The 20,684-nt window shown below is 41.3% G+C and overlaps 1 protein-coding gene and 1 pseudogene across 11 annotated transcripts in view; both read right to left on the bottom strand.

Moving 5' to 3' along the window:
• TRPC4AP (transient receptor potential cation channel subfamily C member 4 associated protein) overlaps positions 1 to 20,684 on the bottom strand; it is a 90,404-nt gene that overhangs the window by 20,790 nt on the left and 48,930 nt on the right. For all 11 annotated transcript variants that reach the window (XM_047440096.1, NM_199368.2, XM_047440095.1 and 8 more), the window contains one exon: positions 11,930 to 12,115. In XM_047440096.1, coding sequence (XP_047296052.1) covers positions 11,930 to 12,115 — 186 coding nt within the window. The remainder of the gene's footprint in view (positions 1 to 11,929; positions 12,116 to 20,684) is intronic.
• RNU6-407P (RNA, U6 small nuclear 407, pseudogene) lies at positions 7,124 to 7,227 on the bottom strand (annotated as a pseudogene).

Here is a 20,684-nt window from a genome sequence, read left to right on the forward strand (position 1 = left end):
TACTGGGTTTGAACCCCATTCACTAGCCGGGTGGTCTTCAGTAAATCAGTGGACCTCTCTGTGCTTCAGTATCCATCCTCCTTTGTAAAACAGCAATACTGACAACCATACCTACCCCTTAATGTTGTAAGGAGTAGAGGGATATACTGAAGGTGCCTGGAACATAGCCCCAAGTAAGCAACATACAATTAGAAACTAAATAGAAGTTAAGTTCTCAGAAAACTGAGTTTTTCTGCGAATGCTTGCTTGTTACTTTGTATTCTTTTTCATCTCCAAGCTTTTAATGGGAACTAAACAGGCAGGAGGCAAAGACTTAGGAAAAATTTACTGGAGAAATTTTTAATTTAAGAGATTCTATCTACTCATATTTATTCTCCTGTACCTTGGGCAAAAAACTATAGTTACTCAATTTCCATGTTAGCACTCCTTGGCCCAGCTTCCAGAACAGTTAAGTGTCAGCTAATCTGTGAAGTGAACCTGAAGAACTATCACGCAGAATCCTGCCTCTGTCGTGCACTGCTGTGAGACCTTGCGTGCTTGGCATCCTCGGCACCCAGCCCATGGTGCTCTAGGGAGTCCTGCAGGGAAGGATGTTTATGCAAGCAGTGGGCACAGTGTGGGGCACACAAGTCCTACTGAGAAATGAACGTCTGCGAAGAAAGAGACAGGGCAGCCTGACCCCTCTCCAAGTCACCACCAACTTTTGGTGCCTGGCTTGCGCAGGCCTGACAAGACTTTCTGTGATAAATATTTTCAAGAAACAGTCTCCAAAGCAATGGCCAGAGCTTAGCAACAAGGTCAGTCCCAAGGATGAGGATGGGAAAACCAGCTCACGAGGCCTGTGCTCCCCTGAGTCTCTTCAGCTCTACCACACCGATTGGAGCGGTCACCACTCTCTGTCTGCACTGCACTGTTTTCTGCGGACATGCACACTCACTTTTTTTTTTTTTTAACAGCTTTGAGGTACAATTCACATACCATGCAATTCACCCATTTAGTTAACCATGGTATCGTGATTTTTAGGACATTCATAGAGTTGTGCAGCCATTACCACAATCAATTTTAGAATATCTTCATCACCCCCCAAAAGCAGCCTTGTACTCACTACCAGTCACTTCCTATTTCCCACCAAACTCCTTAGCTCTAGGCAACCATGAAACTATTTTCCATCTCTATGCAATTGCCTGTTCAGGACACTTCATATTAATGAACTCATGCAATATGCCATCTTTTGTGACTGCTTCTTTCACCTAGTACAATGTTTTCAAGGTTTATCCATGTTGTAGCCCCTATCAGCATTCCCTTTTATTGCTGAATAATATCCGCTAGTATAAATATATCACATTCTGGCTTGGTACAGTGGCTCAGGCCTGTAATTCCGGCACTTTGGAAGACCAAGACGGGAAGATCATTTGAGTGCAGGAGTTTGAGACCAGCTTGGGCAACACAGCAAGATCCTGTCTCTTTTTATTACAAAAAATAAAAAAATTAGCTGGGCGTGGTGGTGTGCACCTGTTTCCAGCTACTCGGGAGGCTGAGGTAGAAGGATGGCTGAGCCTGGGAGGTCAGGGCTGCAATGAGCTGTGATCACACCACTGCACTGTAGCCTAGGTGACAGAGAGAGACCGTCTCAAAAAAAAAAAAAAAAAAAAAAAAAAAAAATTCTGTTTATTCATTAATCAGGTGACAGTCATTTGCGTTGTTTCCATATTTTGGCTGTTATGAATATGCTGTGATGAACATACCTGAACAAATTTTTGTGTAACATATATTTTCATTTCTCTTGGGTATATACCTGGGAGTAGGATTTCTAGGCCCTATGACATAACTGTATGTTAACCCTTTGAGGAACTGCTAGACTCTTTTCTAAAGTGGCTGCACTATTCTACATGCCCACTAATAGTGACTGAGGGCTCTGATTTCTCCATATTCTTGCCAACCCTTATTATCCACCTTTTTTGATGATAACCATTCTAGTGAGTATGAAGTACTATATCATTGTGGGGTTTGTTTTTTCCTCTATCATCTAGACTACTTAAGTGCAGTGGCAGGATCACAGCTCACTGCAGCATTGAACTCTGGACCCAAACAATCCTCCCACCTCAGCCTCCCAAGTTGTCAGGACTATGGGCACGTGCCACCATGCCTGGCTAACCGAAACAAAATTTTTTTTTGTAGAGATGAGGTCTTGCTCTGTTGTTTGAGCTGGTCTTGAACAATCCTCCTGCCTTGGCCTCCCAAAGTATTGGGATTACAGGTGCCAGCCACTGTGCCTGGCCTCACTGTGGTTTTGATTTGCATTTCCCTGACGGCTAATGATGGTGAACATTTTTCACGTGCTTAATAATTATTTATATATCTTCTTTGGAGAAACATCTATTCAGATCCTTTGTCTATATTTTGAAATGGGTTTTTTTATTATTGTTATGAGAGTTCTTTATACATTCTAGATACAAATCCCTTATTAGATATATTATTTGCAAAGATGTCCCACCCTGCCTTACCCACAAAAAACGTTCTTCCATTCTGTGGGTTCTCTTTTCACTTTCCTCATTGTGTTTTCTGAAGAACAAAAAGTTTTAATTTTGATGAAGTCCAATTTATTATTTATCTGGTTGCTTGTGCTTCAGATGTCATTGTGTATGACAGCTAAATTGTTAAATCCAAGGTCATGAAGCTTTATCCTTATGTTTTCTTCTAAGGGTTTCACAGGTTTAGCTCTTACATTTAGGTCTTTGACCCTTTTAATTTTGTATATGACATAAGGCAGGGGATCTAACTTCATTCTTTCGCATGTGGACATCAAATGGTCCCAATACCATTTGTTGAAAAGACTACTACTGTTTCCACCAATGAATGGTCTTGGTACCCACTGAAAATCAATTGATCATAATAAGCATGAGGGTTTATTTCTGAACTCTCAACAATATTCCATTGATCAATATGTCTATCCTCAGGCCAGCAGCATAGTGTCTCGATTGCAGCTTTGTAGTAAGTTTTCAAGTCAGGATGTGAGTTGTCTTAGGTTGTTTTTTTTTTTTGAGACAGAGTCTTGCTGTCACCCAGGCTGGAGTGCAGTGGCACAATCACAGGTTACTGCAGCCTCAAACTCCTGGGCTCAAGCTACCCTCCCACCTCAGCCTCTTGAGTAGCTGGGACTATAGGTGGGTGTCACGAGGCTTGCCTAATTTTTAAATTTTTTATAGAGACAGGGGTCTCACTATGTTACCCAGGCTGGCCTCAAACTCCTGAGGCCAAGTGATCTTCCTGCCTCAGCCTCCCAAAGTGCTGGGATTACAGGCATGAGTCACTGTACCCGGCCTAGTTCAAGACTGTTTTTGTTAATCCAAGTCTCCTGCATTTCCACATGAACTTTAGGATCAGCTACTCCATTTGTGCAAAGTAGTCAGCTGAGAGTTATGACAGAAATTGTGTTGAATCTGTAAGGCTGATCTATAGATCAGAATGGGACTATCATTATCTTAACAATATTAATTTTCTGATTCAAAGACATGGGATGTCTTTACATTTATTTAGGGTTTAATTTCTTTCAATGATGTTTTAGAATTCTCAGAGTATAAGTTTTACACTTAAGTTCCTAAGTATTTTATTTTTTTGATCCTATTATAAATAAAATTGTTTTCTTAATTTTTGGTTTGTTGATTGCTACTCTATAGAAATACTACTCATTTTTTAATATTAGCCTTGTATTCTGAACCTTTGTTGAACCTATTTATTAGTTTACTGGTTTTTATAGTAGATTCCTTAGATTTTTCTACATATAAGATCATCCCATCTGTGAACAGTTTCACTACTTTTCTAATTTGCATGCCTTTAATTTCTTTTTCTTGCCTAACTGCCCTAGCCAGAACCTCCAATACGATGCTGAAGAGAAGTGGCAATGGCACTGCCACTTCCAGAAACGATCAGGAACTCGTCTTGTTCCTGATCTTAGTGGTAGAAGCTTTCAATTTTTTGCCATTAGGTATGTCAGCCATGGGTTTTTGTAGATGCCCTTTAACAGGCTGAGGAAGTTCTCTCCTGAGTTTTTGTTTTTACCATGAAAGGGTGTTGGATTTTGTCAAATGCTTTTTTGCTCCTATGGAAACGATCATGTGGTTTTTGTCCTTTATTCTATTAACACAGTGTATTACATAAACTGATTTTCAAATGTTGAACCAAACTTGCATAAATCCATTTGGTCATGGTATACAATCCTTGTATGTTGCTATACTTGGTGTGCTAGTATTTTGTTGAAGATTTTTGCACCTATAATCATAAGAGATACTGGTCTTGTGATGTCTTTATCTGGTTTTGGTATCATGATAATATGACCTCAAAGAGTAAGTTGGGAACTGTTCCTTCCTCTTTTATTTTCTATTAGAGTCTGGAAAGTATTGGTGTGAATTCTTCTTGAAACATTTGGTAGAATTAACCAGTGAAGCCATGTGGGCCAGGACTTTTCTTTGTGGGCAGTTTTTCATTATTTATTCAATCTCGTTGTTATACTTCAGGTTTTCTATTTCTTCCTGAGTTAGCTGCAATAGTTTGTGTCTTTTAACTTGCTCATTTCATCTAGGTTATTTAGTTTATTGGCTTATATTGTTTATAGTATTCCCTTAGAGTCCTCTTACTTTCTTAAGGTTGGTTGTAACGTACCTTCTTTCATTTCTAATTTAGTAATTTGAGCCTTTCTTTTTTGGTCAGTGTGGCTAAAAGTTTGTCAACTTTGTTGATCTTTTTAAAGATTACCTTTAAAAAAATCACCTTTGGTTTTACAGATTTTCTCTACTGTTTTTCTATTCTCTATCTCACCAGTTTTCACTCTAATCCTATTACTTCCTTTTCCTTTTGAGATGTTTGTTCTTTTTCCAATGACTTAAGGTAGACGTTTAGGCAATTTAGATTTATTTAAAAATGTAGGCATTTATAGCTCTAAAGTTCCCTCTAAGCACGCTTTAGCTGCATCCCATAAGTTTGATATATAGTATCATTTTCATTTGTCTCAAAATATTTCCTTTTTTTTTTTTGATGGAATCTCACTCTGTCACCCAGGCTGTAGTGTGATCTCGGCTCACTGCAACCTCTGCCTCGGGGGTTCAAGCAATTTTCCTGCCTGGACCTCCTGACCTTAAGCGACCCGCCTCCTCGGCCTCCCAAAGGGCTGGGACTACAGGTGTGAGCCACCGCGCCCGGCCTCAAGACACTTCCTAATTTTGTTTGTGATCTCCTGTTTGACCCACTGGTTATTTAGAAGTATACTGCTTAATTTGCATGTATTTATTAATTTCCCAAGTTTGTTATTTATTTCTAACTCACCCCACTGGGATTTGAGGACATACTTTTGTACAGTTTTAATCCTTTTAAATTTGCTGAACTTTTTTTTAACAGCCTAGCATATGGTCTGTCCTGGAGAATGTTCATGTGCACTTGAGAAGAACGTGCATTCTGTAGTAGTTGGGTGGAGGGTTCTACAGTTCTCTGTTAGTCCTTGTTGGTATACAGTGTTATTTAAGTCTTCTGTTTCCCTGTTGATCTTCTGCTTAGTTTTATCCATTATTAAAAGTAGTATGTTAAGGTCTCCAGCTGTTGTTTTTGAACTACTGCTCTCTTCCAATCTGTTAGTTTTTGCTTCATGTATTTTTTGGGGGCTGTTTTTGGATGCATACATGTTTATAACTGTTGTATCTTCTTGATGGTTTCACCCTGTTATTATCAAATATCCCTATTTTGCTCTGATAACAGTTTTTGTTTTAAAGTCTCTCCAGCTTTTTTGGCTGGGTGGTGGTGGCTCATGCCTGTAATCCCAGCACTTTGAGAGGCCAAGGCAGGCAGATCACCTGAGGCCATCTGAGACCAACCTGGCCAACATGCTGAAACCCCATCTCTACTAAAAACACACACAAAAATGAGCTGGGCGTGGGCTCCCCGCCTGTAATCCCAACTACTTGGGAGGCTGAGGCATCAGAATTGCTTGAACCCGGGAGGTGGAGGTTGCAGTGAGCTGATCGTGCCACTGCACTCCAGCCTGGGTGACAGAGTGAGACTCTGTCCCTCCAACTTTTTAAAAGTACAGCCTCTCCAGCTTTCTCGTGGATGCTGCCTGCATGATACATCTTTTTCTGTCCTTTACTTTCAACCTATTTTATCTCTGAATTGAAAGTGTGTTTTCTATAGGCTGCATATAACTGGATCTTGTTTTCTGATCCAATATAACAATCTGTCTTTTGAATGAATTGTTAAATCTATTCACATTTAATGTTACTATTGATAAGGCTGGACTGACTTCTGCCATTTAACTTTTTGTTTTCTGTATGTCTTGTGTGTTTTTTTGTTCCTCTATATCTCCTTTAGTGTTTCTTTTGATTAATATTTTCTAGTATAACATTATATCTCCTTCAATTATTTCTTTACTATATTTCCCAAGTTACTTTCTTTTTTTTTTTTTTTTTTTTTTTTTGAGACAGAGTCTCGCTCTGTCACCCAGGCTGGAGTGCAGTGGCGCGATCTCGGTTCACTGCAAGCTCCGCCTCCTGGGTTCACGCCATTCTCCTGCCTCAGCCTCCCCAGCAGCTGGGACTACAGGCGCCCGCCACCACGCCCAGCTAATTTTTTTGTATTTTTAGTAGAGACGGGGTTTCACCACGTTAGCCAGGGTGGTCTCGATCTCCTGACCTCGTGATCCGCCCACCTCAGACTCCCAAAGTGCTGGGATTACAGGCGTGAGCCACCGCGCCCAGCCCCAAGTTACTTTCTTAGAAGTTGCTGGCTGGCGCGGTGGCTCATACCCGTAATCCCAGCACTTTGGGAGGCCAAGGTGGGTGGACCACCTGAGGTCAGGAGATCGAGACCAGCCTGACTAACATGGAGAAACCCCGTCTCTACTAAAAATACAAAATTAGCTGGGCATGGTGGCACATGCCTGTAATCCCAGCTACTAGAGAGGCTGAGGTAGGGGAATCACTTGAACCCAGGAGGCGGAGGTTGCGGGGAGCCAAGATGGTACCACTGCACTTCAGCCTGAGTAACAAGAGCGAAACTCCATATCAAAAAAAAAAAAAAAAAAAGAAGTTGCTTACCACATACATCTTAATCTTTTCCAGATTTTTTTTAAAAATTAGAAATAAATATGGAATGCATCAGGAATTTGCATGTCATCCTTGCACAGGGGCCATGCTAATCTCTGTACTGTTCCAATTTTGGAATATGTGTTGCTGAAGCAAGCATTTTCGGATTTATTCTAACTTAGAGCTCCATTCCATCTTCATTCTTTTTGTGCTGTAATTGTGCATATTGTATCTATGTATGTTAAAAGCCCAACAATACTTGTTCTAATTGTTACTTTAAATAATTTTATGTTAGAGAAACTGAGAAAAGGAATGAAGAGCAAGTATACATTTATGGAGTTTTTATATTTACCCTCTTATTACCATTTTGGTTCTCCTCACCGATTCCTAGGGATTCAAGTTGCAATTTGGTGTCATGATACTCCATTACAACTTTGGTACCACCCGTTTTCTTTGTACAGTTATTGCAAAATATGTTTCCATATGTTATAGGTTCAACAATATAATTAGATGGTTTGTGTAAGTTTTTTAACTGAAGAAAAGGAGAAGAAATATGCATTTACACAATCTCTTACAATTACAGAATTACCTTTACTTAAGGTGCTCTTTGTTTTTCATGTGGAGTCAAATTACTGTCTGAAGTCACCTGCTTTCAACCTGAAGAACTTCCTTTGGTATTTCTCATAAGTCGGTATGCTGCTTAATTTCCAGATGTTTGTCTGTTACTAATGAGTTCTTTCAGTTTTTCTTTTCTAAGAATGTTTTTATTTCAACTTCATCTTTGAAACATAGTTTTGTAAAATACAAGATTCTTGGTTGACTGTTTTCTTTCAGCATTCTGAATATGTCACCCTACTGCCTTCTGCCTTCCATTATTCCTGATGAGCAGTCAGCCACTAATCTTATTGGAATATCCTTGGGCATGATGAGCCATTTTTCTCTTACTACTTTCAAGATTTTCTTATCTTTCAGGATTTTTTTTTTTTCTTTTTGGAGGCAGGGTCTCGCTCTGTCACCCAGGCTGTGATTGCAGCTCACTACAGCCTCATCCTCCTGGGTTGAGGTGATTGTCCCATCTCAGTCTCCTGAGTAGCTGGGATTACAGGTGTGCACTACTACCCCTGGTTAACTTTTTTTTTTTTTTTTTTTTTTTTTCAAAGAGATGGGGTTTTGCCACATTCCCCAGGCTGGTCTTGAACTCCTGAGCTCAAGCAATCCACCCTTCTTGGCTTCCTAAAGTGCAGGGATTACAGGTGTGCGCCAACATGCCAGGCCTCAGCGTTTTTATTACCATGTGTCTGCATGTGGATCTGAGTATTCCGACTTGGATTCTTTGGGCTTCTTGAATGTGTGCATTAATGATTTACATTACATTTGGGAGATTTTCAGCATTATTTCTTTGATAATTTTTCTGTTACTTTATCTCCTTCTGGTACTCCCATTATGCATATCTTGGTGTGCTTAATAGTGCCCCACATTATTTTAAGGCCCTGTTTTCTTTATTCTTTCTTCCCTCTGTTCTTTAGAATGTTTAATCTCTATCAACCTATTTTGCTGAGTCTTTCTTCTGCCAGTTCATATCTACTGCTGAGTCTTTCTAGTGATTTTTTCATCTTGATTATTATACTACTTAAAAAAAAGTTTTTTTTGAGACAAAGTCTCACTTTGTCACCCAGGCGCAACTGCAGTGGCACCATCTCAGCACACTGCAACCTCTGCCCCGGGTTCAATCGATTCTCATGCCTCAGCAATCCAAGTAGCTGGGATTCCAGGTGTGCACCACCATGGCCATCTAGCTTTTGTATTTTTAATAGAGATGGGGTTTCGCCATGTTGGCCTGGCTGATGTCAAACTCCTGGCCTCAAGTGCTCCGCCCACCTCAGCCTCCCAAAGTGCTGGGATTACAGGTGTGCACCACCATGGCCATCTAACCTTTATATTTTTAATAGAGATGGGGTTTTGCCATGTTGGCCTGGCCAATCTTGAACTCCTGGCCTCAAATGCTCTGCCCGCCTCAGCCTCCCAAAGTGCTGGGATTACAGGTGTGAGCCACCACACCTGGCCTGATTATTATACTACTCTTCAATTCTAGAACTTCCACTGGGCTCTTTTCAAATACTTCCTATCTTTTTATTGTTATTCTCTATTTAACGACACATTATCAAATAGTCCTTTACTTCTTCAAGCATAGTTTTAGTTCTTTGATCTTTTTTTTTTTTTTTTTTTTTTGAGACAGAGTCTCGCACTGTCGCCCAGGCTGAAATGCAGTGGCAGGATCTCGGCTCACTGCAACCTCTGCCTCCCAGGTTCTCGCCATTCTCCTGCCTCAGGCCTCCCCAGTAGCTGGGACTACAGGCGCCTGCCACCACGCCCAGCTAATTTTTTGTATTTTTAGTAGAGACGGGGTTTCACCGTCTTAGCCAGGATAGTCTCGATCTCCTGACCTCGTGATCCGCCCGCCTCAGCCTCCCAAAGTGCTGGGATTACAGGTGTGAGCCAACGCGCCCAGCCCTTTGATCATATTTTTAATGGCTGCTGTTAAATCTGGTATCTGGACCCTTTCACAGGAAATTTCTGTTGCCTGCTTTTTCTTGTGTATAGGTTACACTTCCTGTTTTTTGTGTGTATGTCTCAATTTTTGTTAAAAACTGGACATTTTAGGCTGGGTGTGGTAGCTCACGCCTGTAATCCTAGCACTTTGGGAGGCCAAGGTGGGTGGATTGCCTGAGCTCAGGAGTTCAATACCAGCAACTAGGTAAAATCCTTTCTCTACTAAAATACAAAAAATTAGCCGGGTGTGGTGGCATGCACCTGTAACCCCAGCTACTCGGGAGGCTGAGAGAGAACTGCTTGAACATGGGAGACAGAGGTTGCAGTGAGCCGAGATTGTGCCACTGCCCTCCAACCTGGGCGACAAGAGACTCCATCTCAAAAAAGGACATTTTAAGTAATATACTGTAGCAACTCTGGATACTGATTCCCCCTCCTTCAGGGTTTGTTGTTGTTATTTGCTTATTTATTAGTTTAGTGACTTGGTTAGACTATTTTCGTAAAGTCTCCTTCCCCAAAGACTGGTGAAGATTTTCATGTTGTGCCTCAGAGAGTGCAACCTTGGGCATGTACAGAGTCTCCCTGGGATGACATTGAGCCAGGCTGTCTTTGACTAGCTCTTTCCATGATCTCTCTGTTAAGCTTTCTACCTCTTCTGGTATCACATCCAGCTGTTAGGCTCTACTAACTGCTGACTGAATTCTCGACTGTTTTTGATAATGCCCTGGAGTATACACTGCTCCAAAGTCTAATTCAATTAAATTCAGGAAGGGGTAATTTTTGAAATTGAGCTTTGTTCTGACCTTGGGAGAGTTCTTCTCAGCTGTCTCCTTCCCTGGTTCTCTGGTGAACTAGCTGGCCTGTAGATCACCCTGTTCTTAATTAAGAAGAGGGTACCTGGCCAGGCACAGTGGCTCATGCCTATAAACCTGGCACTCTGGGAGGCCAAGGAGGGTGGATCACTTGAGGCCAGGAGTTTGAGACCAGCCTGACCAACATGGCAAAACCCGTCTCTATTCAAAAAAGAGAAAATATAAAAAATAAAAGAGTAAAGGCCGGGCGCGGTGGCTCACGCCTGTAATCCCAGCACTTTGGGAGGCCGAGGCGGGTGGATCATGAGGTCAGGAGATCGAGACCATCCTGGCTAACAAGGTGAAACCCCGTCTCTACTAAAAATACAAAAAATTAGCCGGGCGCGGTGGCGGGCGCCTGTAGTCCCAGCTACTCGGGAGGCTGAGGCAGGAGAATGGCGTGAACCCGGGAAGCGGAGCTTGCAGTGAGCCGAGATTGCGCCACTGCAGTCCGCAGTCCGACCTGGGCGACAGAGCGAGACTCCGTCTCAAAAAAAAAAAAAAAAAAAAAAAAAAAGAGTAAAAAAAAAGAAGAGGTACCTCTTTTTATTTGCTTACCATCAAAATCTCCTCAGGCATGAACTTCCCTGGACTCTGTTCTTATTAACTGCCTCTCTCTGTGGGCAAATTCTCAGAGCAGGGTCAGTAGCCTCTAGTCTTCCGGGCTTGCCTCTCCCAGTGTAAAACCTCTGTACATGAGCAAGCTAGGGCAAAGGTGATCAGAGCCATAGAATTCTTGGCCTCAAGTATGTGGGATAGAGCTTCCACACCGTGAGTACAGTATGGAGCTGGGTGGAGGAAGGAAGCCTCTGACCTCTTTGCCATACTCACCGAGAACTTAGTCTCTTCAATTTGGAGCTGGAGGGAAGAAGAAAAGCTGATGGCCCCCCACTCCCAATGAGAAACCTATTCCTTGTTTGGGAGCTGAGAATTCCTGGGTTTGTATATTCTGAACCTGCTGGCCAGAGTCAAATGCTTTAAGGCTGGGCACCTAACCAAAGATGGGCCAGAGTTCTTTACCAGGAAGCTGGAGCTGAGACTGGGAGTCTTCTTATTTAATAGGCAGTCTTCTGCCTAGTCCCATCAAGGGGACCAGGAAAAGGTAGGGTACAGTGAGAGAGAAGACTAAGAAACACTGTAGAAAGAAAAAGAGACGAGGAGAGAAGTTTCTAGGTTCCTAAGAATGCTCTGGTTACTGGTTCTTGTTAGTCCCTGAGACACAGCTGTCTCAGGTCTGCAACAAAGCCCTTCTCCCTGAAATCAGGTCCACTTTGGGGAGTTCAATGAAGTTTCTGTAACAAGCTGTCAAAAGAGTCTTAATAGTCATGGTCTAGAATTGCCTTGAGGACAATTCTACTCTGAGCAAATCTCAAATTAATCCTTCTTGGAAAGAAGAGCAAGAATGGTCCCAGGCGCCCAAGGAAAAGCTCCCGATCACTCAGGGGACCCATCCTTCCATACCTTGATTGTGCTCTGACTCCTCATTGGCCACTCGCATCAGGGCATCTAGCACCAAAGCATTGTCTAGCCATGTGTACCACTCTTCCAACTCCTGAAGGAAGCTGGCTGTGCCCGTTGACTCTGACACCTTTCGAGTCGCCAGTTTGCAAAGCCGCTCAACAAAGCCAGGAATGCTGAGAAGGGCCGCTGCCAGGGAAAGAACAAGCGAGGAAATTTTCAAAATAGAGACCAGCAAAACTACCCCTAAAGCCCTAACAAACAATCTGCATGATAGGAATAATTCTTACTCTGATAGTAGCTAAAGCTACTCTTTTAAAATGAATGTCAAACCAAGGTAAATAGTAATTATGTTACAGGCATAAGCTCAGTTTTTAGCAGGTACAGGGAAACAGGCTTTTTATCTACTGGGAATATAAATTAGAATAATCTTTATGCCTTAAATGTGTGTGTCTTTGAGCCAAGAGGTCAATTTCTGGGAATTTACCATAACGAAATAACCAGTCATATTACACGAGAATATCTGTATAAGGAGGTTCACTGATGTGGTTTCTGTAACAGCAAAAAGGTGAAGGTAACTAAATGTTCATCAACAGCTGATTAATTAAATACAATGACACATTTATACAATGGAATACTGCATAGACACTAAGAATGATGACACATACATCTTTATATAGTGACTCAAAACAGCTGTTTACTTGTTAGAGAGTAAATTATTAAACAATATGAATTTAATTTTCTTCAAAAATTTAAATATTTGCTTCTTCAAAATACACAAGGAATGAAAGCATATATACCAAGGAATTTACTGTGGCTGTTCCTAAGCAGGAGAGAATACAAACAATTCTCTTAAAATTACTCATCTATAGTTTCTAATTTTCCTGTAACATTTACTAGCAGGATGAAAGATAAACATTTTTTTAAGGTAAAGAAAAAAACTGAATAATCACCCAATTTTTCTTTCCACCAATCTCATTTTATTCACAATGAGTGAGGTGGAAATTCTGATCGGCATATTAGAACATCATAAACTTTGGAGGCAGGGAGATCCAGATTCAAATCCTGACTCCATCATTTAACCTTCTTTAAAATGAGACTAATGCCTGATCATGTTTGCCTGTATATGCATTAAGTCTCCCTGGAAGGACAGAAAAGAAGCCAAGAGCAGTGGCTGCCACAGTAAACAGCCATAAGATGGAAACAGCCAAAATGTCCGTCAAGTGGAAAAGGGGATTTAGGTCACTGAGAGTAACAGTGGAACTGAAACTTTTCAATAAATACCTTTTTGAATCCGCAGATTTTTTGGAACCATGTGAATGTTACACCTAATTAAAAATTAATAAATAACTAGATATTTCAGGATATCAAGGGATTACTATTAATTTTTGATACAGTGGCAGTTACGTTTCTTAAAAGTCGTTATCATGTAGAAACACTGAAATATATGCAGGTGAAATTATACGATGTCTGGGGTTTACTTCAAAATAACCCAAGGTGAAGTAGGGTATAGTGAATGGGAGTAGAGATAAAGTAAGACAAGCTGGCCAGGCACGGTGGCTCATGCCTGTAATCCTAGCACTTTGGGAGGCCAAGGTGGGTGGATCACTTGAAGCTAGGAGTTTAAGACCAGCCTGGTCAACATGGCGAACTCCATCTCTACCAATAATACAAAAATTAGCCAGGCGTGGTATCGTGCGCCTGTAGTCCCAGCTACTCAGGAGGCTGAGGCATGAGAATTGCTTGAACCTGGGATGCAGAGGTTGCAGTGAGCTGAGACTGCACCACTGTACTCCAGCCTGGGCAAGAGTGATACTCTGTCTCAACGCGTGCGCACACAAACACACACACACACACACACCCCTCCCATAATTAGTGAGTGGCTATAAGATGATGTTTGACCTTAGTTATAAAATAAAACTACATTGAGGTTCCTCAAAAAGTTGGCCAGGCACGGTGGCTCACGCCTGTAATCCCAGCACTTTGGGAGGCCGAGGCGGGTGGATCACAAGGTCAGGAGATCGAGACCATCCTGGCTAACACGGTGAAACCCCATCTCTACTAAGAAGTACAAAAAATTAGCTGGGCGCGGTGGCAGGCGCCTGTAGTCCCAGCTACTTGGGAGGCTAAGGCAGGAGAATGGCGTGAACCCAGGAGGCAGAGCTTGCAGTGAGCGGAGATCGCGCCACTGCACTCCGGCCTGGGCGAAAGAGCGAGACTCTGTCTCAAAAAAAAAAAAAAAAAAAAAAAGTCAAACATAAAATTACCATATGACCCAGCAATTTCACTCCTACATATATACCCAAAAGAATTGAAAACAGGTGCACACACAAATATGTGTACACACATGTTCATAGCAGCACTATTCCCAACAGCCAAAAGATGAAAATATCCCAAATGTCCATTAACTGAAGGGATAAACAAACTGTGGTATCTACATGATGAGTATTATTCAGCCATATAAAGGAATGAAGTACTGACATGCTACAACATTAATGAACCACAAAAACATTATGCCAAGTGAAAGAAACCAGATTCAGAAGGCCACATGCTATATGATTCCATTTACAGTTATGCACTGCATTAACGCTGTTGCGGTCAACAACGACCACACAGAAGACGGTGGTGCCATCAGATTATAATACTGTATTTTTACTATACCTTTTTTCTATGTTTAGATACACAAATACTTACCATTATGGTACAACTGCCTACTGTATTTAGTACAGAAACATGCTGTACAGGTTTGCAGCCTAAGTGTATCATGGGCTATACCAGCTAGGTTTGTGCAAGTACACTCTATGACATTCACACAATGACAAAATCACCTCACTGCATTTCTCAGAAGGATAGAGACTGCTAAGTGACAACATGACTGTATATGAAGTAATCTGAATAGGTAAATCCACAGAGAAAAAAGCAGAATGGTGGTTGCCAGCAGTTGGGGAGAAGGGGTAATGGGAAGAAGCTGCTTAATGTGTACGGCGTTTCCTTTTGGGGTGATGAAAACGTGCAACTAGATAGAGGTGGTAGCTGCACAACACTGTAAATGTACTAAATGCCGCTGAGTTGTTCACTTTAAGACGGCTAATTTTATGTTACGTGACTTCCATCTCCATAAAATAATTACACAGAAATAGATTTTTGTTTGAGACACCATTTTTTTTTTTAACATATCAGCTTGGCAAATATAAAAAAGTTTGATAATGCTCTGTACTGGGAAAGGCTACAGACAACACGGTGGGGAAGATGAACAAGTAATTTCTTTGGAGGGTTAATTTGTCAACACTTACCAATTTCCATTAATGGGGGACTAATTAAATTACAGTATGCCTGTATAATAGAATATTATATAATTACAAAAAGGAATCATATAATTCTATATATACTAGAGTGTAATTTTTGGCAAGATAAGTTTAATAAAAAGAGAGCAGCACTTATTTTATATTACCTATTTACATTACCATCTGTACAAACAGGAGTCAATCTCTCTCTGTCCCTCCCTCCTTCCCCCGTCCCATGATTGGGCATGTATAGAATATTTTTCGAAGGACGTTTAAGAAACTGGTAAAAAGTTACCACAGGGAGGGGAACAAACTCTCTGCTGTACTTTTTGTATCATTTAAAAAAAATTTTAGGTGTGTATTATTTTTTCTAAAAACAAATCAGTAGGCGGGGCATGGTGGCCCATGCCTGTAATCCCAGCACTTTGGGAGGCCGAGGTGGGTGGATCACCTGAGTTTGGGAGTTCAAGACCAGCCTGGCCAATATGGCAAAACCGATGTCTACTAAAAATACAAAAAAATTAGTCGGGCCTGGTGGCGCATGCCTGTAGTCCCAGCTACTTCGCAGACTGAGGCACGAGAATCGCTTGAACCAGAAAGTGGTGGTTGCAGTAAGCCAAGATTGTGCCACTACACTCCAGCCTGGGCAACATAGCCAGACTGTGTCTCAAAATAAAACAAAGCAAAAAAAACAAAAAAGAAATAAAAAGAATTTGTATTCTACATGAAAATCTTCACATAGCTGGATTTTTACTCTTATACTTCTGTTCTCAGCAAAAATAGCTCCTGCTGCTTGACCTGCTCCTCTCAGGACAGCATGTAGGAGCTAGTCTTCCCCATTCCTGCACACTCAACACACTCCTCCAGATGGGAAGTGCCCGGTACTCAGGGTTCTAAGTCTGACTTCCCACCTGAGATTCTTGAGCTGTTGTGAGTCACTCACCTCTTGAAAAGCTAATAAAAGCTAAGACCTTCTCCCCAGAAAAAAATTCACTGGACCAATCATACCTAGCAACTCATACACAATCTCATGGGCTGACATCCCAGCATATCCAGTCCTTGTAATTCTCACAGCTTTATCAGTAGCTACCACACCTGGCTGGTTAATGTTAAACTGACAACTAAATCACTCACAACCCCTGAGAATTTCTGCAGAAGCAGGCCTCTTCTCTCTTCTCACTGTTGAAACATCAGTATTCCCCCCATACTCCTGTAGTTTCCCCTCCTGCTTTCCAGCTTCATGTGCTGCATAATTCAGCCCCTCTCAGCTAAGTGTCACTTATAAATTGACAATTATCTAGCCTATAGCTTCATTTACATCTCTGCTAAGAATCTTGAAAGACGTTACTTTCCCCCAGAAGGAAACCAGCTGTTCTCTTCTAAATCGACAGAAGAACAACTGGTAGTTCTGAGAATCTCAAAAAGGACTCAAAAAATAATTATTTATTTTAAAATGAATCTCAAAAAATAATGACTTACGCTATCTTCCTGGGGCTCAGATAATTTACATTAGATAATTACATGTAAATTATCTGAGCCCCAGGAAGATAGTGTAAATCATTATTTTTGCTAGACAAGAAAATGACCTCACAGCCACAGTTTATTAAAAACGAAACGAAAACTTTTTGGCAACATCCTACATATTTCAGCTTTCCATACAGTTATGGACTGTGTCCCCACCCCCCGCGCCCCCACAAATTCATACGTTGAAGCTCTAGCCCTAAATATGACTGCGTTTTGAAACAGGCCCTTTAGGGAATGCGGTGGTGTGATGGTTAATTTTAGCTGTCAACTTGACTGGACTATGGGATGCCTACATGGCTGGCACAGCACTGTTTCTGGGTGTGTCTGTGAAGGTGATTCCAGAAGAGATTGGTGTATGAGTGTGTGAACTAAGGGAAAATCTGCCCTCAATGTGGGCAGGCACCATCCAATTGGTGGGGGAGCAGTGGGAGGCGATGGAGGAAAACAAAAAGGGATTCTCCCCCTTCTGGAGTGGGAAGTTTTTCTCCTACTGCTCTTGGATATCAGACTCCAGGATCTTTGGCTTTTGGTCTCTGAGACTTGCACCAGCAGTTTCTGGGGTCCTCCAGCCGGGGAGCTACACCATTAGCTTTCCTGGTTCTAAGTTTTCCGGACTTGGACTGAGCCATGCTAATGGCTTCTCAGGTTCTCCAGCTTGCAGACGGCTTATCTTTTATTTTATTTATTTATTTTTGGAGACGGAGTTTCACTCGTTGCCCAGGCTGGAGTGCAATGGCACAATCTCAGCTCACTGCAACCTCTGCCTCCTGGGTTCAAGCAATTCTCCTGCTTCAGCCTCCCAGGTTGTTGGGATTACAGGCGTGTCACCATGCCCAGCTAATTTTTGTCGCAGATGGCTTATCATGGGACTCCTCCGCCTGTGATCGTGTGAGCCAATTCCCCTAACAAATCCCACCTCATAAATCCTACTGCTTCTGTCTCTCTGGAGACTGCTGCCTAATACAGGGAAGTAATTAAGGTTAAATGAGGTTACAAAGTGTGGGGCCCTAAACCGAGAGGACTGGTGTCCTTCTAAGAAGAGGAAGAGACACCAGAGATCTCCGTCTCTCCTCAATGACAGAGAGGAAAATTCATATGTGGATACAATAAAAAGGTGGCCTTCTACAAGCCAGGAAGAAAGGCCTCAACCAGGAACCAATCCTGACAGCACCTTGATCTTGGACTTCTAGCCTCCAGAACTGTGAGAAAAATAAATGTCTGTTAGTTAAGCCACCTAGTCTACGGTACCTTGTTATGGCAGCTCAAGCTGACTGATACACACACCTGAGATAAAGGCATTCACTACTGGAGCGCAATTCAAGAATGATAACATTCAGAGGACTAAGACTTTCCTCATCCACTCGTGATTTAATTATGTCCACCAGCTTGGCCTTCCCAGGGCATTTGAATGGAGAAAATCGTGCGGGTAAGGGAATGGAGTAGGAATTATGGTCAGGGTTGGGAAGGGTCAGATCCTGCACAACCTCATGTGTGGAACTACAACTTTTAGGCTTTATCCCAAAAGCTACAAGCAGAATCACACATAGACTGTCTACTAGGCTAGTCACACAGATATGAAAGTGAATCTAGATTATTTTATAGAGACTTTAAGAAAAAACTCCCAAATAAAAAAACAAAAACAAAAACTGGGCTTTCCGTTCTCAGTTAATCAAAAAAGCCCAGCTGACCAGAACAGTTCATTCCTCAAGAATAATGGGTAATGCTGGTTTTACTTAAGTCAGTTTACAAATAGGCATCTGAAAGCAATCAATACTAACAGGATCAAAATCATCTGCCAGAATAGATTCCTTAAATGGGAAACTAAAAGATGAAAGTTACTTAGTGCCTCGGCATACACAGGCATCCAATACAGAACCTTTCTAGCCCTCAGTTTCCTCACATGTGCAATGGGGATACTAATCTCTATTCCACAGGGCACTTGAAGGATTAAATAAAATCACTTCTAGGTAAAGCAGTTACCCAGCGTTTGCCACATACCAGGAGCTTAGCAAATACTACCTTTTGTCAATGTATATGGAGGTGTGTACACCAGCTCTGAGGTATAATTTAGTTATAATGAAAGTCACTTTTTTTAAAATTATACTTTAAGTTCTAGGGTACATGTGCACAACGTGCAGGTTTGTTACATATGTATATATGTGCCATGTTGGAAAGTCACATATTTTTTAAAAATGTAAATTTCCTAAAATGAGAACTCCCCCAAAATCATAAAGGAGTGGGAAGAAAACCGTACACAGACCAAGGAAGACCTTGTATCTAGTGACACAGGAGGAAAAGCAAATCTAGAGAGAGAATAAACTGGGGTTGGAGTCCACAAACTTCTACCTTTACATATGACTACAACATGTAAAATTATATTCCCTAATAACCTACAAAGTATAGTTATGATCACCTCATGTTCCTAACTAAAACTAGACAATAACAGAGTGAATGGCAGGTTCATATTCAGCCTCAGGAGAGGAGGCTGCTCTGAAGCACTTGATAACTCTGCAGAGCCAGCCTGGGGAATGCACACAACTGGACTTTAGAAACAAAGAACTGTTTTCAGAGCATGATTAGGGCTACCTCTGCATGGTCATGGTTTTCTACTGCTGCTTTTTAATGATACATTTGTATAATTTTACCTTGTTTATTTGGTGTACCATAAGGTACACAGTGATAGGTTTTTGTATTAACAATATTTCCAGCCTGTTAACATTGAAAAACTAGCTTTTAAGACACAAGTTTCAGTTCAAATATGAATTATCTACACTCTTATGACCAAAATACATCTATGCCAGTTTCTCCAAAATCTGTGCAGGCAACAACATTTTAGATAGAACACAGTTCTTTTGCTACTGAACAGAAATAGGTGGGCTAGATTGGTTAGAATAGTGTTTTGTTTTTAAGTAATATATTTACACGGTTCTAAAATCAAACAATATATGAAAGTATACAGTAAGGAGTCCCACTCCCACTGCTACTACCTTCCCTTACCAGCTACTTCCTATTAATAACCACTTTATGTTTCTTGTGTACCCTTTGTTTCTTTAGGCATACCATATATGTGGGCAAACGTATGGTCTTATTCTCCCCCTGACTTAATACAAAAACTATACCATATACACACTGTTCTGTATTTTCCTCTTTATCATTAATATATCTTGGAGATTTTTCTATAGCAGTACATAGAGATCTTCATTTTTTCAAAGCTACACAATTTTCCATTATATAAATATTGAATACACTAAGCAGTCCAGTGTTAATGAACATCTGGGTTTCTAGTCTTTTGTTATTACAAATAATGTTGCAATGAATAATTTTTTTTTTTTTTTTTGAGACGGAGTCTAATTATGTCGCCCAGGCTGAAGTGCAGTGGTGCAATCTGGGCTCACAGCAACCTCTGCCTCCTGGGTTCAAGCAATTATCCTGCCTCAGCCTTCTGAGTAACTGGGACTACAGGCGTGCACCACCACACCCAGCTAATTTTTGTATTTTTAGTAGAGATGGGGTTTCGCCATGTTGGCCAGGCTGGTCTCAAACTCTGAACCTCAAGTGATCCTCCTGCCTCGGCCTCCCAAAGTGCTGGGATTACAGGCGTTAAGCCACCGTGCCTGGCCTCAGTGAATAATCTTGTACAGTAGTCCTCCCTTAGTCAAGACCCTCACAGTGGATACCTGAAATGGCAGATAGCACCAAACCCTATATATACTATGTTTTTTCTTATATACACACATAACTATGATAAAGCTTAATTTATAAATTAGGTACACTAAGAGATTAACAATAACTAATGATAAAATAGAACAATTGTAACAAGATGCTGTAATAAGAGTTATACGAATGTGGTCTCTCTCTGGAATTTTTCAGTTAATATTTTCGGATTGCAGTTGACCACGGATAACTGAAACCACAGAAAGTGAAACTGCAGACAAGAGGAGATTAGTGTC

Source organism: Homo sapiens, chromosome 20, assembly GCF_000001405.40.
Source record: "Homo sapiens chromosome 20, GRCh38.p14 Primary Assembly".
NCBI lineage: Eukaryota > Metazoa > Chordata > Mammalia > Primates > Hominidae > Homo > Homo sapiens.